Here is a 26,747-nt window from a genome sequence, read left to right as displayed (position 1 = left end):
GATCACCAAGCGCTTGGTGTGGCCTTGGATGAGCAAGTTACTTCCTTAGTTTCCTCATCTCTGGGGTTTACAGGGCAGTTCAAGTAGAGGGTCCGAAGGTCGGTTCTGTGTCTGACTTGGGGTATGCCGTGCTGTGACTATAGAGGTACTGGTGGGTGGCTCAGCCTTGGACCCACCAGTGTTTTCCTTTTGGCCTGTGATAGGGTGTGAGTGGTTTCAGTCCTGGGGTGTGGGGTACGGGTGGGTGTAGTCAGAGAAACTTAACTTCAGGAAGGCAGAGGGGTGGCAGTTCTGTTGGGGGAGGGGCTGGTCAGCCCCTCCAGCTCGGCCACCATCGCTGACTCCTTCCCACATGTGATTCTGATTAGGGGGCCTGTGTAAAAGTTACCTAAACACCACTCTAATTACTCTGTTTAGGAACATTCACATGCGTGGGAGGGTGCCTGGCACTGGCTTCCCACATGTGCTGGGGGTCTGTGGGAGGCACCACGTTTGCACGAGCGTGACAGGCCCTGTGTTGGAGCTTCGCAGCCACCTGGGGCCAGGGAGCCTGCAGGAGGAGCTCGGAGAGTGCATCCCAGGGGTTCTCCAGCCCCAGCAGGCAGAGGGGTAGGACTGACCATTCTAGGTGCTTCTTGTTGAAAATTTCTCATCCTCCCTGTGAAGTAGGTGTTATTGTCCCCATGAAGAATGATACAGAACCTTGGAGGAATTTGTAAGCAACAGGGTGTGTGATTTGGAGTCAGCAAGACTGGTCCTCTCACTGCGTGACCTTGGGCAAGTCCCTTCACCTCTTTGAGCTGCAGTTCTTCGTCTGTCTGAGACCACCTGCCTTGCAGGCTTGTTATGAAGACTGAATGAGATAAAGCATGCGAGAGGATGTGACACGTCTGACCAGGGCCACCGTATTGCACAGCCCCCAGGGGCTCCACGCTATGGCCCTGCGGCCGTGCCCACCTCTTAGGTGTGAAATGTGAAAGGCCATGGGCTGCATATTTCATTTACAGTCTAGAGGGGGATGCCTCCAGGTGGGGAATGATTCGGAAAGCCCCCCAGAGATGGAGACGGGTGGTGTTTGGGGGGCTTGGGAGAGCCTAGGGCAGCACCCTGGATTCTCTGGGGGTTCAGAAAGAAGGGGCTCCTCTTCCAAGCTGAATGGGCAGTCCCAGCTGGGGTTTGTAGCTGGTGGACCATCAGTGTGTGGGCAGCATGCATCCTCAGGGAAATTGTGATGTGGGCAAAGGTCTCTGGTGACTTGTACTTTACCCCACCTGTTCTGTACAAGTGTCCCCCTCCCATCCTGTACATCTGTGGGGACTCCCATGTCCCTTTGTACCTGTCCCTCCACCAGTCTCCCAACAATAAGGCTTTCACCCATTCAGCTGTCCACTCTGTCTTCATGCCCGTCTGTGTGAACATCCATATCTTCATCCACCCACCCAGTCACTGAGCAGCAGACCTGTGCCATGCCTGTCATGTACTCTGCTCTAGCTCTGCACTACACTATGCAGAGATGAATGGGAACTGCCTCTGGGGGGTTCATGGAAGTGGGTGTGGCTTTCTGTCGCTGACATTAAGGAGGGCCCATCAACACCCTGACTTTCCTTTAAAAATGAATCAGATCGGAGAGTAAATATGAATGAGTTTTTCCCTTCCATCTGTACACCTCCTTGTCCATTTGCCCATTTACCCATTCATGAACCCAGCTGTCTAACCCACCCACCCATCTATGTAACCAGCCAGGAAGCCATTTAACTGCCAGGAATCACCAACTTACCCATCAACCCATTCACCTTCACACCATCAACAAGTGTGTGTGTGTGTGTGTGTGTGTGTGTGTGTATATATATATGTATATGTATATATATGTATATATGTATATATATATGTATATGTATATATATGTATATATGTATATATATGTGTATATTTATACAGTAAATATATAAATTTATATTTACTTCATACTATTTAAATTAACAAGCATATTTTTAAGATCCCAATATGTGCGAGGCACTATATCAGATTCTGGGGCAAGCGAGTGACTTGGACTTGATTTTAAAGTCCCTTCCGTCTCTGACTTCTGTAAACACAGAAGCATAGGACAGGGATCCTACTCTCATTTATTCAACAAATCCATATACTCAATAAATAGTTGTTGAGCCCTTCTGTACCCAAAGTCAAATACTGTGGTGAACAAGATAGATAATCTTTGACTTCATGGAGTGTACTAGTGGAGGAGTACACTAGTACTCCATGAATGTACACACTTCATGGAGTGTACATTCTAGTGGAGGAGCCAGTAAACAAGTAAATGAATGAATAATGATTGTGGTAAGTGCCCCTTGTGTGCTGGGTACGGGCAGGCTCCCCAAGGGAGCTTGCAGCCTTGTTGGAGGTGAGACAGGTATGCACAAAGATAACGCTCCCCAGCTCTGCCAGTGTGTGCTGTGTTCCGGATGGAGTGCACTTTATCCATAAGGACTGCAGGTGGTCAGAGGGGCAGCCAGGGAGAACTTCCTGGGGAGGAGAAGCCAGAGGTCAGCCTGGGGATGGGCCTGGAAGTAAGCTGGGGGACCTGCTGAAACCTGTGCCAGCGTGCCTTTTGTTCCTGAGTTGCCTTCTTGATGCCCAGGAAATGGTAATTAGCCTGGCTGCTGACTTGCTAGGCGACACCAGTCCCGTGCACACTCAGCCCCAGTCCCAGAACCACCAAATGAAGGGGTTGGAATAGATGAGTTGCAAAATCTCCTGGACCATGACTCTGAGATCTATGAATTCAATTAAAAGGGGAGACATAATAATATTATATTTCATGGTGGCATTCTTGAATATATTAATACTATTTTGAGTAATAATCCTTGTGACAATCCTGTCAGGGAAGAAGTACTACCCCCACTTGGCCTATGAGAAAACTGAGTACACTCTGTCAAGCTGTCTTTAGCTTTGCTTTCCTTTCTTTTTTTTTTGAGATGAAGTCTCCCTCTGCTGTGCCCAGGCTGGAGTGCAGTGATGCGATCTCGGCTCACTGCAAGCTCTGCCTCCTGGGTTCACGCCATTCTCCTGCCTCAGCCTCCTGAGTAGCTGGGACTACAGGCATCCCCCACCACGCCCAGCTAATTTTTTTGTATTTTTAATAGAGACAGGTTTTCACCGTGTTAGCCAGGATGGTCTCGATCTCCTGACCTTGTGATCTGCCTGCCTCAGCCTCCCAAAGTGCTGGGATTACAGGCGTGAGCCACCGCGCCTGGTGCTTTGCTTTCCTTTCAGAGCTCTGGGGAGAGCTTCATCAGGTTGGATGGCTTTGCATGTCTGAAAGCACCAGCCTAGTGTGTGGGGCACACACTAGGGGTACACGAGTGCCATCTTTGTCCAGTATCTCATTTAAGATGATACATGTTGGCCAGACATGGTGGCTCACGCCTGTAATCCCAGCACTTTGTGAGGCTGAGGCAGGAGGATCCTTTAAGCCCAAGAGTTTGAGACCAGCCTGGGCAACATACTGAGACCCTATCTGTACAAAAGATAAGATAGTAAATGCTCACTTTCATTTCTTTTTGGGAAAAAAAAATCAATAAATGGTTTTGATTTCTTTTTTTTTTTTGAGACGGAGTCTCACTTTGTCACCCAGGCTGCAGTGCAGTGGTGCAATGTCAGCTTACTGCAACCTCCGCCTCCCAGGTTCAAGTGATTCTCCTGCCTCAGTCTCCCGAGTAGCTGGGACTACAGGCGCACACCACCATGCCCGGCTAATTTTTTTATTTTTAGTAGAGACAGAGTTTCAGCATATTGTCCAGGCTTGTCTTGAACTCCTGACCTCATGATCCACCCGCCTTGGCCTCCCAAAGTGCTGGGATTACAGGCATGAACCACTGTGCTCGGCCGGTTTTGATTTCTTTAATAGCAAGAATCCTGCAACAGAACATGTTGTTGTTAACTGCTTTCCTATTAGACGAGGATCAGACAAGTCACAGATAACAGCCTCATGGTCTTAAATGGCAGCCGGGACTTGAGCTCTAGGTTATGTGACTTCCCATACCTCATCCTTATCTTCTTTCTCCCCTCTTCCCCTGTCTCCATTTCAGGGCTTCAAAACAGCCTGGGAAGGTGCCAGGGAAGGAAGGGGACTGGAAGGGATGAGGGAGGGCTTTTATCCTATTATCCTTTCCTGCATCCCCCATATGAGGAAAATGGGTCGGGGGGAATGTCCTTACTTTTAAAAAAGAAGCTTCTGGGGCTCTAGGAGTCTTTCTGCATAGGAGAAATCTAGGTTTTGGTCCAGCCAGGAGCACTTTGTGATTTGACAGGTGCTGGTGAGGCAGATTCTTTTGTTGAAGGGCTTTTCGTGCACTATGCAAACGGACCAGCCCCAGCTTCCCTATTAATTATGAACATTTAGAAATGTTCCTGAGTATACCCCGAGTTCCTGCTCATGAAACTCTGCGGGTCAGAGGCCACATGTGTTTTGATTTTCTTATTTGAGGTATTATGTGTTCAAGGTAGATTTATGCTACAACCTTTGTTTATTGACTTGTACTTTTCCCTGTGAACCTAATGGAACATGACAGACAATATTTACAAGGCACGTGTTTCCGATTAAATCATGTGAGACATTAAAGGCCGATAAATGAAAGCCCCTTTGAAAGGCCAGGTTCAGAGAGAAGGAAGTGGTCCCTGGTGGGGCCTTGAAGGTGGAGTCACCCCCTCAGCTGGTTGCAGAAAATGCTGAAGGCGGCAGGCGGTCCCTTTGCTGGGATAGGACTGTTTGTCACCACTTCCCATCTAGGGACCTAGGCTGCATAGAGGTCTGAAGAAGGACAGAAAGAGCCCCTCTTCCTCTCAACCATCTAGGAAAGAAGGAAGGGAAAAGAACGCATCTTTTTTGAGCACCTACTGTGTGCCAGACTCTGTCATGTAAGTGCTTTCCTACAGAGACCAGCCCGTCAGCCTAACAGCTCTGAGGCTGTTACCATCTTGAAGGGGAATCAGAATGGCATGGGGCTAAGAATGTTGACTGCAGTTTGTAGGAAGCTTCCAGGTCCCCGCTCTGTCATTCACTGTCTTTGACACTGGGCAAGTTACTTAACCTCACTAAGCCTTGTTTCCTTGGTCACCTGTAAAATTAGCATAATAATAGTATCGATCTCTTAGGTGTGCCCCAGAGTACATTAGCCAATATTATTGTCATTGTTAAAGATAAACTGAGGCACTTTTCAAGGTCACTGCACATAGAGGATGGCAGCAGAATCCAGTCCTTCTGATTCCAGAGCCTTTCCCGAGGCTGCTTCGGTGGGAGGTGTGGGGACAGCAGATGGTCAGCAAGGGTTGGCCTGGCTGACTGCTGCACCAGGACCTGGGATATTACCTTGGCCTTCCTCGGACTTCCCGGGAGCATTGATGGGAAAGCTCAGTGGCAGGATTAGCCTAATTGGGAGTCTTTCCGCAGAGGCTAATTAAAGGATTTGGGTAAATATAAAAAGTGGAAACAGCTTGGGATGGAAGGCTCCCCTCACCTCCCTTCTTCCCTTTCCTCCCTTCTTCTGCCTCCTGTTGTCTCAGAAGGAGTCTGGGGTTGGCAGCTGCTGACCCAGGACTGAGCACAGCCAGAAAACTCACCTTTTTTTTCTTTTCTGCACACCTGGTGGCAGGTGACCTGAGAACTAATGAGAGCAAGATTGGATTTTCTTTTCATATTTAAAATGTCTCAGTAGGACGTCTAACTAGCTTACCAGTTGTTTTATAGGAGCAGAAGCTGCAGAGAAGAGAGAAGGAAAGATTCCTCCCCGCTCCAACTCCCCAAGAGGAAAAGTTTGCTTTTGGCAACATTGACTTTCTCTAAGATCCTGTATTGATCAGCACTTGCCATTTCCCTGGAGATTTACTGCCTGGTTTTTATTTAGATGCAGAGTGAGGGAGGAATCTGTGGGGATGGGGACGCTGCCTTTGGAGTCAGCCAGCTTGAAGTTACCCTCTGGCTGTATCTGCCGCTCGCCAGGAGGTACCCTGGGCAGGTGGCTCTCTCCTCCCAGGGCTCAGTGTCATTGTATGATACATAGTAGCTGTGGGAGTCAAATGCGATAGTAGCTGTGGAAGTTCTGAACTGGGCCCCGACACTGAGTTAGAATGTGCCAGATCTTCCCAGGAGGCAGCATGAGGCCTAGGAAAAGCCCTGAAAAGCAAAATGCCTCCTTCACTCTTTGGCGCAATGCTGTTAGGTACGTGTTGGGGGCAGGTGTGAATTCATGCGCTCCCTCTTCATGTCTCCTCCCCTGGCCTCACTTTACTCATCTGCAAAATGGGGAGGAGACTCTCTTTTCTGCCTCCCATGAGGTGGTGCCTGTGAAAGCAGCTGGCAAGCTGCAACCCCTGTAAATTCAGTGATGCTAACAACCATCATGCCTCATGTGGAGGGTTACAGAGAGCAGTTGTCTCCTTTAACTTCTGCTCTCTCTCACTACGAGCCAGTGCTTGGAGAGGAAGTGACTTGCCCCAGGTTTGGGGGCTGCTAGAGCCCACAGAGCCAGGGGCTAAACTGAGGTCTGCCCCGCTGATGGCCAGGCTGTCCTCCGGCTTCCCTTGGAGAGACCCTGGGCTCCCTGAGATGGAAAGCGATGGGCTCACACAGCACTACGCTCCTCAAGCTCCCTCTGTCCTAAATGAACTCCCCTCCCCACCCCTTCTCTCCCTTCCTTTCCCCTCCCTCCCACTTCCTCACCACTGTTCATCTGCTCACCCAGGCCCAGGGTGGCAGGGCTGTGTGTGGTGCAAGGTGGGGAGTCCACTGAATTAAAAGACCCCCTGAGGTCAGGGACTGGCTCAACAAGCAGGCGAATGGCCCTGCCGCTAATTCTGTGTGTCCTTGGGTAAGTTACTTCCCCTCTCTTTGCCCTGATTTCTTCATCTGTAAGACAGGATTGCTAATGCCTGCCTTATTCCTGCCATAAATTGGTTTAAGGGGTGGAAAGTAGGCTGAGAGTGAGCAGGTGGGAACTGGTGGAAAGTGCCATTCGGCAAGGTGCTGTTTGACACGGTGGTCCTGGGAGAGCACCCCAATTTCTGCAGCATTGGCTGTGGGCAAACATTTCTTCCAAGTGGGAGAGAAGACTTTTCAAAGGCCACATATCATCTTAAATGCACAAGTGCCACTGAGGGAGAAGGGTTGTTTGTTTAGTAGGCAACACTGATTCTCAGAACAAGCTAAACAAATCCCTCTTATTGAAGAATGTTGCTCTGGGCTAGGCTTGATTAAAATAGGAAAATCTAAGAGGCTTAAATGTGTGCGGTTTTGGTTGTGGAGGGATCAGGAGTGCTTCCCCCTGCCCTGTGTCTTGCTGGACATGGTCACTGAGTTGTGAGGCTACTGAAGGTCTGTGTAGTGATGGGCCCATTCAGCACCAATTTTACCAGTGAGGGGCTGGAAAGCCTTCCCGGCCCAGGCAGGCAGTATTCTGAGCACCTTCCTCTGGGCTCTGAATGCCTTGGGTTAGGAGGTTTGTGTCGAGGGCTGCTTGGAGACTAGTTTGCTCTGTGGTCTCTTTAGGTCAAGGGCTGTCCTATTGCCTTGATCTATTTGGAAAAGTAAGGACTCATGCTTTTTTTTTTTTTTTTTTTTTTAGAGACAGGGTCTCACTCTGTCATCCTGGCTGGAGTGCAGTGGTGTGATCATAGCTCACTGTAGCCTTGAAATCCTGGGTTCAAACAATCCTCCTGCCTCAGTCTCCTGAGTAGTTAGGACTATAGTTGTACATCACCATGCCTGGGTAATTTTTATTTATTTTTTTTAGAGATGGGGTCTTGCTATATTGCCCAGGCTGGTTTCAAACTCCTGGCCTCAAACGATCCTCCTGCCTTGGCCTCTTAAAATGTTGGGATTACAGGCATGAGCCACTGCACCTGGCCTGACTCATGCTTTTGAGCAGCTCTAGGTGCCAGGGCCTGTACCAGGTGCCCCATGTATGAGTCTCCTTTATACCTCTCTGTCTCTGTTTTCTTATCTGTGAAATAGAGATAATAATAGTACCTACTTTGTAGAGTGGTGGTGAAAATAAAGTGGGGTTAACACATAGAAAATGCATAGAACAGTGCCAAACACAGACCAAACATGCAGTAAACGTCGGCTTCCACCAGAGCCCTGCCAGGGAAGGATGGGGTAAGTTTTTACATTTAATGTAGCAGAGGCTCAAGGAGCTGAAGCCACTTGCCCATGCTGGCGAGTGGCAGAGCAGAGATTGGGGAGCCTGGGTCTGGCCGACTTTGAAGCCAGAGAAGATCTGTTGAGCAGATGAGAGCCTTGATGCCACGGTGCTCAGCAGAGGCCTTTTGGGGGACAGGAGAACCCCCTCATGAGGACAGGCCACGGTGGCCTTCAGTGCCATGCTCCCACAGCCCTGTGGGCAGGCCACGTTTCTGCAGACAAGATCCTGAGGCCTATGGGTGGGTGTTAGCAGACTGGTCAGGGTAGGCTCTTTGTTTTATGGCCATGCAGAGAATGTGGCCAGAGTCTTCTGTGGCTGAGGTCCCAAGGCAGACCTTGTCGACACAGTCGTTCCTCATTAATTGGGCTGGGTTGAATTTCAGGGCAGACTGTCAAGTGGCCGTAACCCCTGCCCTGGAGAGCAGCCCCCTCCCCTCACATCCTGCTATCTGAGGTCGTTGCTATGAGTGTGACCTGCCCAGAGCAGTGATAGGGAAACTCTGGCCTGTGGCCAGGTGGCTCTGGGTCAGCCGTCTCTCTCTCCTGTTCCTGCCCTATCTGGAAACCCCTGCCACCCTCTCCCAGGAGGCCACAGCTTCCCTACCTGGAACCCGGGGGCAGATGCCGGGGGAGGCTTCTTCATGCTCATGTGTGCTAATGTGTACTGCATGCTTGCCCTGCGTCTTCCACTGTTCTGAGCACTTTCTGTGTGCCAGCTCACCTGCTCTTCACCACTGCCCTGTGAGTAGGTTCTATTCTTATCCCCATTTTACAGGTGAGGAGAAAGCCTTGGCATCCTCCTGGAGAGGCAGCCTGGTGAGGGGAGGAGCAGTGACCTTGGAGTTCCAGCCATAGCCCCTTCTGACCCCACAGCACCCTGCTGCTGTGATGGTGGGGAGTAGAAAGGGATTTGCCATCAAAGTCACCTACATGGGCAAATGCAGGAGGGGGGACACGGGAAGCCTGCCTGCCTTCCATGAACATTTGTTAAATGCCAGCTCTGTGCCTGGGCTGACTGTGGAGGAAGCTGGACTTTCTTTTTTTTTTTTTTTTTTTTTTTTCTTTTTTAGGTAGAGCCTTGCTCTGTCACCCAGGCTAGAGTGCAGTGGTATAATCTCAGCTCAGTGCAACCTCTGCCTCTCGGGTTCAGGTGATTCTCATGCCTCAGCCTCCAGAGTAGCTGGGACCACAGGCGCCCACCACCACGCCCGGCTAATTTTTGTATTTTTAGTAGAGATAGGGTTTCTCCATGCTGGGCAGGCTGGTCTCAAACTCCGGACCTAAAGTGATCCACTGGCCTCGGCCCCCCAAAGTGCTGGGATTACAGGCATGAGCCACCACACCCAACCCAGTTCTTTCATTTTCAAACAAAGTGCATTTGCAGCAGTGTCTCTACGTAGGAGGCAGAGGGTCCTGGTGGTTAAGAGCCAGGGCCCTGCAGCCAGACTCTAGCTTAGATTTGAATCCTGACTCTACCACTTACCAACTTGGGCAATCATTTCTTCCTATGCCTCAATTTCTGCACCTGTAAAATGGGGCCACAATAGGGCTTAGGACAGTACCTGGCACGCCATGAGCACTCTCAGTAAGTGTTCCTTTTGACAGCGGAGGAGGGCGTTGGACAGCTGGGAGCTCTGGGAGGCTCTGAATCCCAAATTTCCTCTTCTTGGGGGAAGAAGACTTTCCCTGAGTCGGGAGTTCAGAACCCTGCCTAACCCACAATGAGATGGTACTTCACACCCACTAAAATGGCTGTCACCAAAAAGACAGTAACAAGAGTTGGCAAGGGTGTAGAACAATTGGAATCCTTATTCCCTGCTGGTGGGACTGTAAATAGTGCTTTTGCTGGGGAAAATAGTCTGGTAGTTCCTCGAAAGGTTACCATTTGACATAGTTACCATTTGACCCCCCAGCTACACTCCTAGGTTTACACCTAAGAGGACTGAAAGCATGGGCCCACATGAAATTTGTACCAAAATGTTAATAGCAGTATTATTCATCATAGCCAAAAAGTGGGAACAACCCTAAATATCTATCAGCTGATGAATGGATAAACAAAATGTGGTATATCTGTGCAATGGAATATTATTCAGCCATAAAAAGTAATGAAGTACTGACATCTTACAACACGGATGAGCCTTAGAAACGTTATGCTGTGTGGAAGAAGCCAGACACAAAGGTCGTATGTTATGTGAATCCATTAACATGAAATGTCCTGGACAGGTAAATCTATGGAGACAGAAAATAGATTAGTGTTGCCAGGGGCTGGGAGGAGGGGAAATAGGGAGTGAATGCTAATGGGTACAGGTTTCTTTTTGGGTGATGAAAATGTTGTGGAATTAGATAGTGGTGATGGGTGCACACCTCTCTGAATACGGTAAGAACCACTAAATAGTGCACTTTAAAAGGGTGAATCTTGTGATATGTGAATTGTATCTCAAATTTAAAAAGAAGAGCAAAAAACCAAACTCCTGCAGGATCTGACCCCTCCACCCCTTCTGGGACCCACCCTCACGCATGCTCCATGCATTTACACGAGCAGAGGCCATGCATTTACACGAGCAGAGGCCATGCATTTGTTCATGTTACCCTCCATCCTTCCTTCCTGACAGCCTGTCTTGGGCCGAGATGTATGCACTTCACAGATGCTGTCACAGGAAGAAACCCAGAGCTTTGGAGCCACGGAGCCGCGTACCCTCCCATTCCTGCCCCTTCCTCTAGGTCTTGGTTTCCTTACCTGAAAACAGGGAGAAAAGGAGGAGGAGAGACTCTGTGGCACAGGGCTGTGATGAGGGGGAGGTGAGGGCTGGCAGTGGCCTGGGGGGCGCATCCAGAGCAGGAGCATCTGACTACTCCATCGTCTGCTGGTTCCTCCAGGCCGAGGGCCTTGCGCACTGTAGATGTTCCCATTTGAGGTAGCATGGTACAGTGGGCTGAGACCCTGGCTGAGCGTGTAGTGGCCTCTGCCATCCCCTGATAGAGTCATCCCAGCTCAGAGTCCTGGCTTTGGGTCAGGGAAGCCTGGATTTGAGTCCCAGCCCTTCTTCTGGCTCTGTGACCTTTTGCTGATCACTCAACCTCTCTGTGTTTTAGGGTTGTATATCTCCCTCAGTTCATATGATGAAACCCTAACCACCAATATGATGGCATTTGGAGATGGGGCCTTTGGGAAGTAATTAGGATTAGGTGAGGCCATGAGGGTGGGGGCCTCAGGATGGGAGTAGCACCTTACAAGAAGAGACATGAGAGAGCTTGCTTTCTCATTTCCTGCCATGTGAGGACACAGTGGGAAGGTAGCTGTCCACAAGCTGGGAAGAGACCTCTCACCGGAAACCAATCATGCTGGCATCTTGATCCCGGACTTGCAGCTTCCAGAACCAGGAGAAATAAATTTCTGTTGTTTTGGCACCCACTCTATGGTACAGGTTGAGTATCCCTAATCTGAAAACCTGGAATCTGAAATGCTCCAAAATCCAAAACTTTTGAGTGCCAACGTGATGTTCAGTTGGAGCATTTCAGACTTTGGATTTTTGGATTCTCAGGCTAGGGATGCTCAACTGGTCAGTATAATGCAAATCTCCCAAAGTCCAAAGAAATCAAAAGCACTTCTGGTCCCAGGCATTTTGGATAAGGGATATTGACCTTGTATTTTGTCATGGCAGCTGAGCAGACTAAGATCAGGCATCAAGAACAATCGGCTGGGCATGGTGGCTCACGCCTGTAATCTCAGCACTTTGGGAGGCCGAGGTGGGTGGATCATCTGAGTTCAGGAGTTCGATACCAGCCTGGCCAACATGGTGAAACCTGTCCCTACTAAAAATATAAAAATTAGCTGGACGTGTTGGTGCGTGCCTGTAGTCCCAGCTACTCAGGAGGCCAGGGCAGGAGAATTGCTTGAATCTGGGAAGCGGAGAATGCAGTGAGCCGAGATCATGCCACTGCACTCTAGCCTGGGTGACAGAATGAGACTCTGTCTCAAAAAAAAATAAAAATAAAAATAAAAAACAAACAAACAAAAAACAAAACAAAAAACAATCATGGCTGTAAAACTCATAGCACAGTGCAGTGTGTGGCATGCACTGTTACTCTTGGGTGGCTCCTTTTATGACTCTGATGGTCATTATTAGTTGTGGGACCTTGGGCAAGTCACTTCAGTCTCCAATCCCATTTCCTCAGTGGGGTTTGGTGCTGCCCGCACAGGTTCGTGATGAGGGTCAGATGAGATAATCTAGGTCAATGGGCTCGTAAACCATGAAATGGCATGCTTGTGGAAGTGGCTGAGTTTTTATGGCAGGGAAACACAGGGAAAGCCTGGTGGAGAGGTGGCTGCAGGTCTGGAGGGCATCCCTGGCTGGAAGCTCTGCCCATGGACCTTTCAGGAAGTGGCTCTCTTCTGGCAGCAGCCTCGGTCTACCCGGACCCAGGTGGCAGGGCTGAACAGAGGTCCCTGGCTTGGCCAAGGGCTGGTGTTCTGTGCTCACAAATATCTCACCCCTGATGGGGAAATGGGGCCAGTGCCCACAAGCAGTGGCGCGTGCTTGGAAGGCAGACCAGGAAGATGACCTGCTGACTAGGCAGGGCAGCCAGTCTTCCTCACAGCTTTTTGGACCCTAAGTGAGAGAACCATGGGTTACAGGGAAGGCTGCAGTCAAAAGCTGCCTTCTGGGGAGGGTGAGGGGATGTAGAAGCAGAGGCTCGAGTTGGCTCCTGTTCCTGTTCCTTGACATCAGGGACTCGGAAGTCTTCCAGGTGGAAAATCACTGCCTGGAACTCCTTCTGCGTCATCCTCTGGAGTGCGTTCCGAGGGGATGTTGCCTGTTGCATTTGTCTTCAGAGCTGTGGCCTAAGGTCCTTCCCCAGCTCTGACATCTCGCACTGAAGCTGGGAGGGCGTGTTCCTGGGAGAGTTTATGAGACTTTCTGGTTGGTTCTTTAATTGTTTCCTGTTTGTTTGCTGTCTGGTCTGGGGCATTGGGGTGGGTGGGGTGGGGAGTCCTCGGAATGTTGGCCTGGGCAGCACAGAAGAGGGCAGATGTCAGGAAACGGATGTGGAGACAGGGAGGTTTTCAAACGTGAGGGCTTTGGTTGCTAGAATAACCCTGCTCTGTCCCCATCCCAATACACGTCCTTGTATTTTACATAGAGTGTTCGTTGTAGCGGTTAGAACCACTGGCTCTGAGCCCAGTTCCACCTCTTATGGGCTCTGTGACTTTAGCAAGTTGCTTAACCTCTCTGTGCCTCTGTTCCCTCATCTGTAAAATAATCAGTAAAAGTGTAGTAGCACTTACCTCCTAGGTTGTTGCTAGGATGAAGTGAGGCAATACGTGCAAAAGTGTTTAGGACAGTGTCCGCACCGAGTATATGCTAAATAAGTGTTAGCTGGACTGTGGAAGGAGTGTGATGGATGGGTAGGTCCTTCCAGAAGAGCTGTTTCTCCTTCCTCCTCTGCTGTGTAGTTTAGCTCCATGGATGCTTCTCGAGCCCTGAGCAGGGGTTGGATCTCTGCTGGGGGTGGATCACATCCTGAACCTGTCCCAGGAATGTTCACAGCCTGGGTAAGGGGAGGCCCCAGAACAGACAGTGGCCCCCAGAGGAGGGTGGGACTTGGGGGGGTGGCACTGAACCATGCTTTGAAGGGTGAAGAGAGGTCCCTTAGGCAGAACGGTGGGGAGGAACTGCATGTGCAAAGCAACTGGAATAGGAAATGAAAGTTGGCAGCAGAGTGAGAACCTCAGAGGGCCTTGAATGCCAAGCTAAGGAAGTCCCAACTCTGCCAGTAGGCAGGGGGAGTCTCTGAAGGATTTTGGGCAGGGTGACCCACTCAGGTTGGCATTGCTGTCTTTCCTCCACTTTCCTTACAGAGCCTGCTATTGTGTCATTCTTGGGGTTTGTTGCTGTGACCGTCTTCCCACTATCCAGACAATGTCCAAAAGTTCTTGTCCTGCCTCCTCCCAGCTCCCTCCCGTGGTCTTGAGAGAAGTAGTCCTCAGTGGTTATTGAATTCATTTATGAATCCACCCAGTGAATATGGACACACCTCCTATAAAAATACTGGTCACCATGCTAAGCACAATGAAGGGGCATCTCGAGAGGGGCTGTATGGGGATGCCACGTGGAAGGTATTCTGTGCCCAGACTCATGTGGCCATCTCGAGAGGCTGTCAGCCAGGGTTGAAAGGCGAAAGTCTTTAAGAGACAGAGTTCTGCAGGAGTTCCAAGAGTGGATGATGACCTGTTCCAGCTGGGGGAGGCAGGCAAGGCTCCGTGTGGGAGGTGGGCCCTTGAGCGCTGGCGGGAAGGGAGTTCCAGGCGGCATGGGCAAAGTGTAATGGTGGGAAAGCAGACAGCACGTATGAGGACAGCAGTGAGCTCTGCTTGGCTGCACGGAAGGGCACGTGGAGGGAAGGAGAGAAATAAAGTTGGAGGGCCTCATGAGCATGGCCGGGTGGGGTGAGGGTGGGGGAGTTTGATTTATTTTCCTGTAGGTAGAGGGGGCCATGGAGAGTTTTTAGCTATGCTTTGGTAAGACTAATTTTCACACCCTGTGGTTCTTTGGAGAAAGGGCAAGTGGTGCATTTTTCGATCTTTCAGATGGGTCTGGGTCGTGGATCCTGTGTTTGCAGAAAGGTAACTTGTTACGTGAAACCTCTAAAAATCCTCAGATTTCTGCCTTAATGAAGGAGGCAATATTTCTCCCTTAGATTCCTTAAAACTTGAGTTTCAAGTGGGGAATAGTGATGCATAATTTATTTCTTCTGGTGCTTGATCAGAGATCTCGAGGGAAAGAACAGGAAGGAATTAGTGAGATCTATATTACAATTTAATTGCTTGAAGGAAAAATATTATTTTTTATTGTTAGCCATTAGCTGCTTCTAGTTTTATTAAACTCAGGCCTGTGCCGAGCAAAGCATTAACCGCTTGGAGCTCGCCAGCTCCCTGAGGGGAGGGAAACCTTCAGAATTGTCCCACCTTGTAAAGCAGGGGTAACTGCTGGGAGTGGAGAAGCCCTGGGGATTTCATGCATTGGAGACATTTCTGGACTTGGAGTGCAGCCTGCTGACTGCGAGTCTGCCTGCATTCTCAAGAGATGCTCTGGCACCCACAGCTAGGGGCCAAAGAGGGCCAGGAAAGGCCCCTGGCCCCTGGGTCAGGCAGACCTGAGCCTCTCCTAAGATGAGTGATCTTGGCTACATTGCTTAATCCATCTTAACAGATGAAGAGTTTTCATTTCTAGAGGTAGTTGCTAGAGCTAAATGAAACACTGTATATAAACCCAATACCCTTGTATTCAGTAGGTGCTCAGTAAAAGCCAGTTTTTGGGTCCCGGTGCGGCACACTTCTCCAGGCCATCTCCCCTCCTTTGTTCTGGCTCTGGGCTCCAAGCTCTTGTCTACCACCCCGCGCCCCTCCTGCCTTCCTGAACTGGACCTGGGGCCTCCCAGGACACAGGGTGGAGGGAAGAGGCCCAGGGTCGGGCTGAGCCCTCCGCTGTGCTGGACATTCACTGCTCGGTGCCTGCTACTTATGTGGCAGTCATGGCACCAGTGAGATGGGTCCCTGCCTTCAGGGAGCTCCCAGCTGGCTGGCTGAGGACAGACAAGTCGCTGCCGTAGTGCCCTGTCTGTCACCTTCTTCTGGTTAGTCTTCAGCTCACCCAGCCTGGAAGTGACTCCCCTTGACCTCTGCTTCTCTCTCATGCCGCTCCTTCATGCTTCACTACCAGTTAGTGTTTCGTACACATCCTCCCCTTAGACTTGCACCATGAACTTGGAGGCCTCTCACTCCCCTTTTACACATGGGAGCTGCAAGCTCTCGAGGTGAGATGACGGCCTGTGGTCACATAAGTGGGGATTTGGGCCGCACAGTCCAGAGCAGCTGAGAGTAGCAGAGCCTGGGGGCTTTCCTCTTCCTCAACCCACCCCCACCCCAGCTGACAGTCGGCCTGCAGGGCTTCGTTACACACACAGGGCTTTTTAAACAGATGCGGGCCTACTGTGGATTGTAATGTTTTCATTGACTTGCCTTCCCTGACTTATTAGGAACCACTTGCTGCCTGGCCGTGGTCCCTAGTGTCTGGGGAGGTAGTGAGCCAGTATATATATTTACGTATATTTAGAGATTGGGGTCTCACTGTGTTGCCCAGGCTGGAGTGCAGTGGCTGTTTGCAGGCACGATCGGAGCCGCCGATGTTTTCAGCCACCCTTCCGTACCAGTACCGTTGTCCTGTGCAACATTTCATGCTTACCAAGTGACCCTACAGCCTGGATTTTTTGAGGCAGCGTTAATTTACTATGATAGTGAGAATTTAGCTCCTGCTAGTGTGTGTGCAGGACTGTGCTGTGTGCCCCACGTAGCCCAGTCTGTAATAACTCCTTCTACCCCAAGTCCCAGGTCCGAGCCCTTGAGCAGCCTGCCCAAGGCCACACAGCCTGTAGGAGGTGGAGCTGGGACCCCAGCGGTGTCTGCCCAGCTTGGGCTTTCTTCCTGGGTGGTGCTGCCGCCTCAGCAGGGCCCCCTCTGCATGAGCTTAATTCATGGGCTGGGCCCAGCTTGGTACCCAGAAGGTCAGGTCAGCAGGGCTTTCCTGGGCCAGCAGGGACACTGGGTGCAGCCCATTGAGAAGAGAAGGCAGAAAGGGTCCCTGGCAGGGCCAGCCGGCTCGCAGAAAGGGAGTGAGGAGGTATAAGCTTGGACTTGAGTCCACAGGGTGAGGTATGGGGAGGGGAAGAGAACAACCGCGTTCTGAGCACCTACGGTGTGCTGTGTGCTTTGCTGATGTCTTCTCTCCTTGTCACCCCTCCCCCAGCGCCCCTGCCGTTTCTCACCTAGAGGGCCCACCCCCTCCATTTGGCCAACTCCCATTGGTCTTTCAAACTCATTCAGGGCCATCCTAGACCTGCCCTGACCCCAGATTGGGCCAGAGCCCCTTCTTTGGGTCCCTGCAGTCCCTAGAGTGTCCCTCCATGCAGCACTGGGCACCTGTGTGGTGGCCGCCTGTTGCCTGTCTCCCCTACCAGGCAGTAGACTGCAGGGGCCGGGACTGTTTCCTCCTCTTCGTGAGCCCAGTGCCCACCGTCAGGCCTGGCCCAGGCAGGCGCTCAGGGAAAGCTGGTTCAGAGTGACGGTGATGACACAGCCTCCTCATGTCTGCGTCATGTTTCCTGTTTCCCAAAGCATCTTCTCATCAAGGTCACTTTGAGCGGCACAGCCATCTGGAGGGTTAGGTAAGGCAGCGATCGATGAAAAGGCACGCTTTCCAGGTGGGGGCACTGAGGCTCAGGAGGCCACCCAGTGCGGTGGTAACAGAGCCCGGCCTCGACATCCCGGGCTTCCTGCACCATCCCCTCCCCTCTTCAGTGCCGCCAGAGCGCCTGCTTTATGATGCCCACACCCTTGGCGACCCCGAGGCCGGGACTGCTTGTAATCAGATTGCCTTCCTCCCCACTGAGCTCATGCTGCTGAGGGAATGGAAATTTGGATCTGTGGGCGGGGGTGAGAGGCTGGGCTGTGGGGGCAGCTCTGGCTGGGGTGCTGTGGGACCAGGATGGGATGTGGTGGCTGGGGGAGCATGCCAGAGCCAGACTTAGCAGTTCTGGCCTCTGGCCACAGGGGCTGCTGAGAACCATCTCAAGTGGTTGGCCAGATGCCTGCCCCCGAGGGCTGGGTGTCCAGAAGGTTTGGGATGGTCAGCAGCAGGGAAGATGGATCTTCTGAGGTTAAGTTGGCCATATTGGTGGCCTCCAGAGACTGAATGCCCCCAGGGAGACCTGGGTTCAAGTCCTGCCACTGACTTGACATGGGGCCATGGCAAGTTACAGCCCTTCTCTGCGTCAGTTTCCTCATCTGTAAAGTGGGATAATAGTCTCAGAAGGGGCTGTAGGGAGGATTAAATTATGAAACAGTGCGTGTAACATATGGAGCCACGATGATTTCCTTGTCTGCAGAGTGGAATGTACTTTGCCCTGCTTCTCTGTCTGGGTTGATACGAGGTCTCGACGAAGCACCCTCACACTGTGAAGTGCTGTGCACCTGTGAGGGACATACCTTCCTTCAGAAAAGATGGACATGGATGTAGAGGGATAGAAAAGGGCTCTGGAGGTGCTTCCTGGGATGGGATGGGCCCCTGGGAGTCCATTGACAGAGAGGCCAGTCCAGCCAGTGAAGATTGAGTGGGTTTCTCAAAGACTTTGGGGTTTGCTTAGGGTGGCGGTGCCTACCATCCAGAGAACTGGGCCTGCAGGGACCTTGGGCAAGCGTGGGGTTCCAGCCCAGTGGGGAGAAAGCAGGCCCGAGCTAGGATGGCCTGGGTTTCCCCAACTTCCCTTCTTCACAGCCAACTTCTAGCCAAGCCCTCCAAAAACTCACCCCCACCTGGGTCAGGGTCCCCCACTTCCACTCAGGCTAGAGCCCACACCCTCAGTATCCCTCCCCCAGCTACACCCACAGTGGCTGAGAAATGGGGCTGCTGGAAGCTCCATTTCTCAGCACAACCCCAAACTCTAAATCAGGGACAATAGTGGCACCCACCAGGCAAGGCTGGGTGAAGGTTACTGTAACCCTGTAGGGTAACACATTAATGTGTGTAAAGCACACAGTAAGTGCTCAATAATTGCTAGCTATGTTTATTGTTATCGTTACGTCCTTCAGGTTATTACCACATTCTTTCCATGCACATCTCAAGTACATTGGATACCATTGCTATTTTATGGTTGTGTTGAGTCCTTTTACTCTTCAGGCAGTGGGGAGCCATGGAGGGATTTTGAGCAAGGATATGACATAGGGTTGAGCTCCAGGATGCTGAATCTGGCAGTGAGTTTAAGCCTCATTACGTGGTGTGCTTCGTTCAAAGGGGCTTTATTGTTCTATAGTAGTTTTAGAAATAGCTTTTCAAACCCTTCCCTCTTTAGGTGGGGAAAAAGAGAGGTTGGATGAGAAGGAAAAGAAAGCTTGTGTTAGGAAAAAGGGAGGCAGTTTGAGGGGTCAGGTATTTAATAGAGATAGGGAGAACTGCAGAGTGGGCTGCAGGCTGGGTGTGAAATTGCCAGACACTGTCTCCAGGTTAGATTATAGGTGTGGAACTCCCCGCTCCTCCACGACTCCTGTCCATATGGGCCTTGCTGCTGCCATGGTGGGACTAGAGTAATGGTAATATACATCTCTCTATGCTTTCAGAGACACAGTCACTGGGGCGGAGTTGGTTTAACTGTGGAACCTGGTAATGCTGGGTGGGTGTGACCCTGGGTTGGAGTGGGGGTAGGAGGGAGGTCAGGATTGGCCATGAAAGGAATATAGAGGCCATTTAGAGAAACTGCAAATTCAGTAAGGTGGAGCTGTGCAGAAATGAAGGACCCTTTATTAGCAAATCCGAAGCTCGGCCAGTGTATGATTTGATGCTGGCTGAGTGGCTGCAGGGAGTGGCTGGTGGAAAAGGTGTGGAAGCTCCAGGCGAGGCGGTTGTTGGGAGAGGGAGAGGGAATGGAGGAGGAGCAGTGGTGGAGGAGCTCATGGACGTGGGAGAGCATGGAGCAGCAGGGGGCTCAGCTCCTCCCAGTCCGTGTGAATCTGGGATCCTGGGCCCGGGGTCCTCATCATCTCCAGTGATTCTGCTCATGGAGTCCAGAGTGGGCCCAGGATTCTGAGGGCAACAGGCAAAAGGCCAGACTTTGAGGAACATGGATTTAGGTTTATGTGTGTCTCATGTGGTGGTGGGAGGGGGGATGATGAGATGAGCAGGGCTGGGTCAGATGGGGATCAGTGGGCAGCAGGTGGTGAGAGAGGCTGGGCCTGGGCACTGAAGCTCCCACTGTGGGTACAGCTGGAGGGACACAGCGGGAGTGCGCCCTAGCCTGAATCTCTACAAAATTTTTTGTAGAGATGGAGGTCTTGCTGGGTTGCCCAGGCTGGTCTTGAACTCCTGGCCTTGAGTGATCCTCCTGACTCAGCCTCCCAAAGTGTTGGGATTATAGGCATGAGCCACGGCGCCTGGTCTCTCCCTTCCTTTTTGACAGGCAGTGTGGGCAAGTGCTTGAGGAGGAATGTGGACCCTGGAACCTGGGTTTGCTTCATCCCTGCTCCTTCACTGCTAGCTGGACAACGTCAGGAAGATTACCTGTGCTTCAGTTGCCCCAGCTGGAAAAAGGGGGACATAATTGTATCTACCTCAAGGGGTTGTTGTGAGGATTACATGTCTAGATTTATGCAAAGCGGTTGGAGTGGCACCTGGTTTTTATTATTCCTGCTCCAGCCACACCCTTGGACAGTTCTCACATCGACATCATCACCTGTTTCCAGTGATGCCAACCCCTCTGCCGGAATGCCCTTTCCTCCTTCTCTGTCTGTTAAGGCCAGTTCAAATGTCCTGCCTCCTGAGTCTCATTTTCTCAGCCGAAAACAGGGGTTAATCATCGCTGCCCTGCCTGCCTCTCTGGATGACTGAGGGAAAGAGAGACGGCCCTGGCATTCTGAACAGCACTGGACAGCGCAGGCTGCGCCACAGCGTCCTGCTTGTTCTGTCATGTCCATTGCCAGATGCAGACGTTGAAGCCAAGAGGTGCTGTGGTTAAAGTGTCCTTTCTCCACCCTCCAAACTGACCATTTGGCGGCCAGTTCAGGCAGAGGCCATTTGAGATTTGGTTCCTGAAGCAGCCCCCGCCATGTCTCATATGAGGCCAGTGGAAGCCGCCCCAGCTGTGTCCTGCAGCACAGGTCTTCACAGAACAAGGGCCTTGGAGACCACCCTCTTCCCCATCATGCGCTGATGGGGGCAGCGGAGCCTGGGGCAGTGAGCCATCCCTGCCTGTGGCCCTGAAGATGCGGTGTCGTGGTGCCGAGCGTTGCTGGGCGGTGAGGCTCCCTGGCCTGATGCCATCACTGTGCACATGTGGTTGATGTTTGATTCCTGTTCTTTACCCTTTCTAGCCTATGCTGGGGATCCAGAGATAAATCAGCTTCAGGCATGACGCAGGGTGCTCACAGCAGAGGGGGCAGGCCACCAGGTATCAGATAATGACCACACAGTGTGACTCAGGGTCAGGGAGCCCAGTGCAAGGTGTGAGAGAGCTTCATTTGGGAAGAGATAGGCTTGTGTTGGCCTGACAGCAAGGGGAAAGGCATTCCGCTCACTACGTGTAGCCCAGAGGTGCACAGTGGTGGGGATAAACCGGCTCTGAAGGGCACATGTGGGCAAGTGAAGGCTGGTGAGGGCCAGGGGCCTGAGGGCCAGGCTGAGCTCCTAGGACCTCATCTGCAGGGGCCAGTAATGGGCGCTGAGATGCCTCTCAGAGGGGCCTGGTGGGGGTAACACATCACAGATGCCATGCTCCTGGACAGGGGAGGTCTGGTCTCAGGCTGTTACTGTGGGCCCAGAGAGGGGCTCGGTTTGCCTAGCATCACACAGGGCATTGGTACTGCCTGTGGCCAAATGGAGAAGTAAGTCTTTGTTTGGGCTAAGTGTTGAGAATGAAGACCTCTTGAGCGCTTGCCTTCTACTGTTCTCAGGCAGAAAGGTCACAGTGCAGATCTTGCTGGGACTCCCTGTCTCTGTGGTCACTTGCTCTGGTCTGGCCGGCTCTCAGCTCAGGATGTTTCTGGGTGGGAAGATACACGGGACTCAACAGGTGGGTCAACTTGGTAGACAGTGGAGGGCTGCAGCCAGGAGGGAGGACTGGAACCAGAGCCCAGCCAGGGTAAATGCTTCTTGCCAGGAGAAGGAGGGCAGCTGCTGTGAGTCCTGCCCAGGCAGGTGGTGCCTCTGTGAAGCCTCTGAGGCCTCCTTCCCTCTGACTGGGCTGTGGCTTCTCTGTATGTCCACTGGCCCCTGCTTCGCTCCATCACAGCACTTACTGCTCTGAATTGAAACTCTCCACGTCTCTCTTTCTAATGACTGTTGAATGAGTGTTGAGGTGCATGGACCAACTGTACCTTTGGGCTGGTCTCTTCACCTGCCCCACCCTGTGAGGGTGGAGTGTAAGGAGACCATCAAACGACCTGAGAGAATGTGCTCAGCCATCCACAAAGTGCTATTGAAAGCAGGGGGCTTGAGGAAGAATGTGGACCCTGGAGTTCTAAGACTACTGTGACAGTTTTATTCCCCAGCCATGCCTGGCCCAGAGTCTGGCCTGGGGGTGTGGCTGGTGCCTCTGCACTACTCTTGGGCCTTCATGGATTCTGCCAGCAGGTGTCCTCAAGGTGCCCCCAAATGAATTCGCTGCCATTGGGCAAGATCAGGCACTCAGTAAAAATTGAAAAACGAGTGGTGCAGCCCTTTTAGAATTTTTCTGGCAGGTTTTTTGGTTTTCACCAGAAAACATCCCCCCCCACACAAAAACCAATTTAAAAACTACTTATTTAGCAGGTTTTTCCTTAGCACCTCTTCCTGTACATGACACCGTATGGGGGCTGTGGGCCTGCCCTGGAGGAGCTCAGGGTTTCCTGGGGAAAGCAAGACAGTCACCCATCAGCGTGAGACCAGGGAGGAGGAATGTGCTGTGGAGCTCGGGAAGGACATCCTAGTTCCCAGTCGGGAGACCAGGGAAGTCTTTGTGGAGGAGGGGGCATTTGGCCCGGGCACTAAGGAATGGGCAGGAGAGCAGAGAGGGTGGTGGGAAAGGTGGCACAGAGGCTGGGGGACTGGGTGTAGTCCCTAGTCCCTGGCTCGGCAGGACTGCACAGCTGCACGAGGGGAGAGCCCCCTTCCACCCGCCACGTCTTCCCCTTTCCCCACCTCTACCCTGCAAAGTGCTCAGAGCACATTTTGTAGGGACTAGTCAAAATACAGACTCAGACGGATTTATCCCCCATGAGCCCACACTCGCATTCCTGGGCACAGGAGGGAGCGATGAGCCCGTGGGGATGTTTGCAGAGAAAACAGAAACGAATGAGTCTGGTGAGGTGCTCTTCTTGAATCAGGGACCGAGAGCGGGTGTCAGCACGCCACACACAGGGCCAGAGCCTGCCGAGCAGGAAACGCGCTGGGGCAGGGCCAGTCTGGCCTCCAGCAAGGCAGCCCCGGTTCCTCAGCCTCGACAGCACAGCACGGTGATCTTGATGGCTCCAGGGAGGGCCAGAGGCTGGGTCCTCCGGGCTTGAGGTGGGGCTAGGGGCACAGCCGGGCCCGCTTGCGTCTAGGACTCTTCCTCATCTATGATGTGGTGGACGCCACCAGCTCCCCGAGTTGGGGTGAGAGATGCGGGGAGGTCAAGCACCTGTGCCTGGGAGCCTGCACAAGTGGGAGCAGTTGTCACTGTCCCCTGGTGACATGGGGGCCTGGGGCAGAGAACACCCTGTGATACCTGGTTAACTGGAACCCCCGTTAACCAGAACTCCTGCCCACTGTCCGTCCCTTCGTGAAGGAGGTGGCTAGATGCTATGGGAAGACCCTGGCTGGGTGGTGGGCGGCGGGGGCTCTGACCTGGTGCTGCCCCTTCCTAGCTGGGGGGACCCATTGCATGTAAGCAGACCTTGTGGTTTGGGGAAGAGAACGCACAGAACCACCCGACAGCAGGGGGCCCTTCAGGAAGCTCCTCGGCTCTCACAGGAGAGCGGGGATGTACTCGGGTCTTCCATGAGGAGTTATTGTGGGGGCTCAACTGTGCGAGGCCTGACACGGGCTTGGTGAAGCGGGGCGGGCTGGTTGGACCGGGTGATAGATGTTGTCCTTGGAATGACTGGGAGTAAATAATTAGTGAAAGAACTCCATGGGAATCCCTTAGGAGACTCTTTCTTTCTTTCCACTGCCCACCCCCTAAAAATGTCTGAGAGACCCAGGTGGGCGGGTGGTGCCTTGCAGGGTATGAAGGGCCTTGGGAGCTGGGACTACTTCCGTCCTCCTCTGCCCAAGAGGCAAGCGGCCCCTTCCAAGTCCAGCTCTCCTGCCTGGCTCTGGTTCTGCTCCCACAGTGATTCTCTCGTTTGCCTCATCCTGGGAAAACCTTTCCTTAACTTCAGGAGATTCCGGGTTCCAGTCCATGCTCTGCCCCTCGGAGGCTGTGTGACCTCGTCGAAGTTACTTGGCCTCTCTGAGCCTCAGTGGCCTCACTGGCAGTGGAGTAGCTCTTGGGAGCCTCCTATACACAGCTCTGGAATCCACTGTGTACCAGGGCAAAGAAAGGGCTCAACACTGTCAGGAAGTTCAGTTAGGTGATGGACACGGTGATCCTGCAGGCCACAGTCCCATCTCCCTAGCATGGTGGACAAGGCCCTTGGTGATCTGGCCACAGCAAACTTATTGCCCCACCCCCGCCACCGTTCAGGCCACCTGGAACATTTCCCATCCTCTGAACCCGTCACACGTTCTCATGCTTCTGTGCCTTTGCATGGTCACTCTTTTCTTGGCTGGAGAGCTCCTATTTCTCTCTTAAACCCAGCTCAGATGCTCCCTCTTGGACTCCTTCCTGTATCTTTCAAGCAGAGTCAGTTCCCCTGGCCAGAGATGAGCACTGTTTTCCCTGCATTCCAGTTTATCTGCTTCCCTCGCTGCCTCCCCCCACAGTCTGTGAGCTTCCCAAGGAGAGGGAGAGGATCTGATTCATCTGTGCCTCCAGGGTCCAGCTCAGGGTCTGCCACCAACCAAGCAAGGACCATTCTCCTGTGCTCACAAGGACCTCTGCTCTCTTTCCTAACCTTCTTTCCCACTTTGGAGGGAGAAAGCACTGCGGATGAGAACAAAGCAATGTCCTCCATCAGAGAGGCTAGGGGGCTGGTGGAAAGTGGAGTAGGCTGAGCCGGAGGGGAGAATTGTGCCGTGTGGAGCTGAAAGATAACAAGGGGCCACGGTCTGACTTGGCAGTGCGTGGCCTCCAGAATGGGCTGCAAGGGAATCTTCCTTCCTTCCTTCCTTCCTCCCTCATTTACTGAGTACCCAGCTTCAGGGCAGTCATAGCTCCGCTCCGTGGGGAAACAGTGGAGCATGAGAGAGAACCTCCTAAAGGGGCTTTGCAGTCTGGTGGGAGAGATGGAAGGAACAATGGCCATAGGTGGGCAGCTGGGATCATGGCTGCGGGAGTGGAGAGGGGCCAGTGAGCAGCCTGGTGGATGACAGGGAGATGAAACTAGATGAAGGGCAGGGGCAGAGGGGGAGGGCAGGTTTCTGACGGAACCCATGCATGAGAGGGAGTGGGGAGAATCTGAGGTGGGGCTGGCCACAGGCTGGCTGGAGGGCTCAGCAGGGAGCAGTTCCTGAGGCCAGATGGCTCAGCACAGTGGCAGCGGCTCCCAGCAGATCTGGCTGCGGGATGGAGGACAGATTGAAGGGCCAGTCAGGGGCAGGAGCCTCAGACCGTGGTAGCGGTGGCCAGCGCTGAAGCCGCTGGGGAGAGGAGGGGATGGGTTAGGACCCACTATTTGAGACCTGACAACTGACTGGATGTGAAAGCTGAGGGTGAGGGAGACAGTCACAGGCAAGGAGGGAAGTGACAGTTGTCTCAGGAAATAACTTGTTGGAAGAGAGGGGAAAAAACACAAAGAACTCAGCAGGGATCTCTGCAACTCAGGGTAATTTTGGCTTCGGAGAGTCAGCCTGCTAATCAGATTGTAAAAATCAGGTACCAGGGTTTTTGCAGAAAATGCAGCAGATCAAAGCCAGGGTCGATTAGGCTCTGATTAAACATTGCCGAGGAGGTCAGACTCATTACGGAGGAATGTACACAGGCCGGCAGCGCTGACGGGGGATAATAACAGATCGCGCCCGGCAGCGCAGACACCACGGCGCTCTGGGGACGCGGTCCTCCGCGGCGGGGCGGCCACAAGGAATGGTATGTCCGCGGGCTCCAAAGGGAGTGAAGGTGCAGGGGTGTGTGGCAGCATGTAGGGTCAGCTGCATGCTGTCTAGTCTCCTTCTCTGTGGCCTCTGGATGGGGAGTGCTCCTGTGAGCTGGGCATTGGCAGAGGTCAGCCAGGACACCCGTCTTGCTGTCTTTCACCTTTACCTGCTTGCTCATGGCCTTTTTGCTGGGGGAAATGCCTCCCCACCCTCTTCTTTCTTCTGTGTCCCTCCCAGAACTCTGCCAGCATCTCCTCCAGGAAACCTTCCCTGACTTCCACCCCAGGTCAGGTGTCTCCTCTGGGTCCCCACAGCCTCAGAGCTCTGGCTTATCTCCCCTCCCGTGAGTCTCTTGATGGCAGCATGACTCTCTGTGTCCTCTGTTTCCAGCTCAGGGCTGGGCAGAGTGGATTCACTGATCTGGGCAGAGCCAATTCCCTGAAGCCACACAGCAAGCCAGGCTCCACTTGCCTGCCCTAAAGCAGGCCCAGGACTTCTGCTGAGAGGTGGTCATGGGGTAGGGGTGCTGGGAGCCTGCTGGCCAGGAGGAGAGGAGAGGCAGGTGGCCCACCAGGCTGGTGTGGGAGCTGTATGAAGGAGATTCATGGCAGGGAAGAAGGGAATGAGTGCCAGGCTGAAGAGCCTGGATGTGACCCTGTGGGCACTAGTGAGTTCTTGATTTGAGGTAGTGACAGAAACCAAACTGTGCTTCAGGAGGTACTGGAGGGCCCTCCATTTCTTTGGCGAGAGCAAGATTCTCTGAACAGCCACCCACCCTGGTGGCTTTGACCTCTACT

The 26,747-nt window shown here is 52.5% G+C and overlaps 1 protein-coding gene and 1 pseudogene across 11 annotated transcripts in view, besides 3 other annotated features; both read left to right on the top strand.

Annotated features, from left to right (window-relative positions):
• The window catches only part of GLIS1 (GLIS family zinc finger 1), a 232,926-nt gene that overhangs the window by 27,911 nt on the left and 178,268 nt on the right, over positions 1-26,747 (top strand). The gene's annotated exons all lie outside the window — the stretch shown is intronic.
• Positions 16,654-17,280: an enhancer, noted in NCBI's record as "H3K4me1 hESC enhancer chr1:54159647-54160273 (GRCh37/hg19 assembly coordinates)". NCBI's record gives its function as "activates a minimal SCP1, AML or CMV promoter by ChIP-STARR-seq in naive H9 embryonic stem cells {active_cell/tissue: H9 hESC(naive)}" and the evidence as "EXISTENCE:reporter gene assay evidence [ECO:0000049][PMID:30033119]".
• On the top strand, positions 22,442-22,505 carry RNU7-95P (RNA, U7 small nuclear 95 pseudogene; annotated as a pseudogene).
• Positions 24,865-25,693: an enhancer, noted in NCBI's record as "H3K4me1 hESC enhancer chr1:54151234-54152062 (GRCh37/hg19 assembly coordinates)". NCBI's record gives its function as "activates a minimal SCP1, AML or CMV promoter by ChIP-STARR-seq in naive H9 embryonic stem cells {active_cell/tissue: H9 hESC(naive)}" and the evidence as "EXISTENCE:reporter gene assay evidence [ECO:0000049][PMID:30033119]".
• Positions 25,694-26,523: an enhancer, noted in NCBI's record as "H3K4me1 hESC enhancer chr1:54150404-54151233 (GRCh37/hg19 assembly coordinates)". NCBI's record gives its function as "activates a minimal SCP1, AML or CMV promoter by ChIP-STARR-seq in naive H9 embryonic stem cells {active_cell/tissue: H9 hESC(naive)}" and the evidence as "EXISTENCE:reporter gene assay evidence [ECO:0000049][PMID:30033119]".

Source organism: Homo sapiens, chromosome 1, assembly GCF_000001405.40.
Source record: "Homo sapiens chromosome 1, GRCh38.p14 Primary Assembly".
NCBI classification, from domain to species: domain Eukaryota; kingdom Metazoa; phylum Chordata; class Mammalia; order Primates; family Hominidae; genus Homo; species Homo sapiens.
Note: the sequence above shows the minus strand (reverse complement) of the source record. Positions and strands in the feature narration are given on the sequence as shown.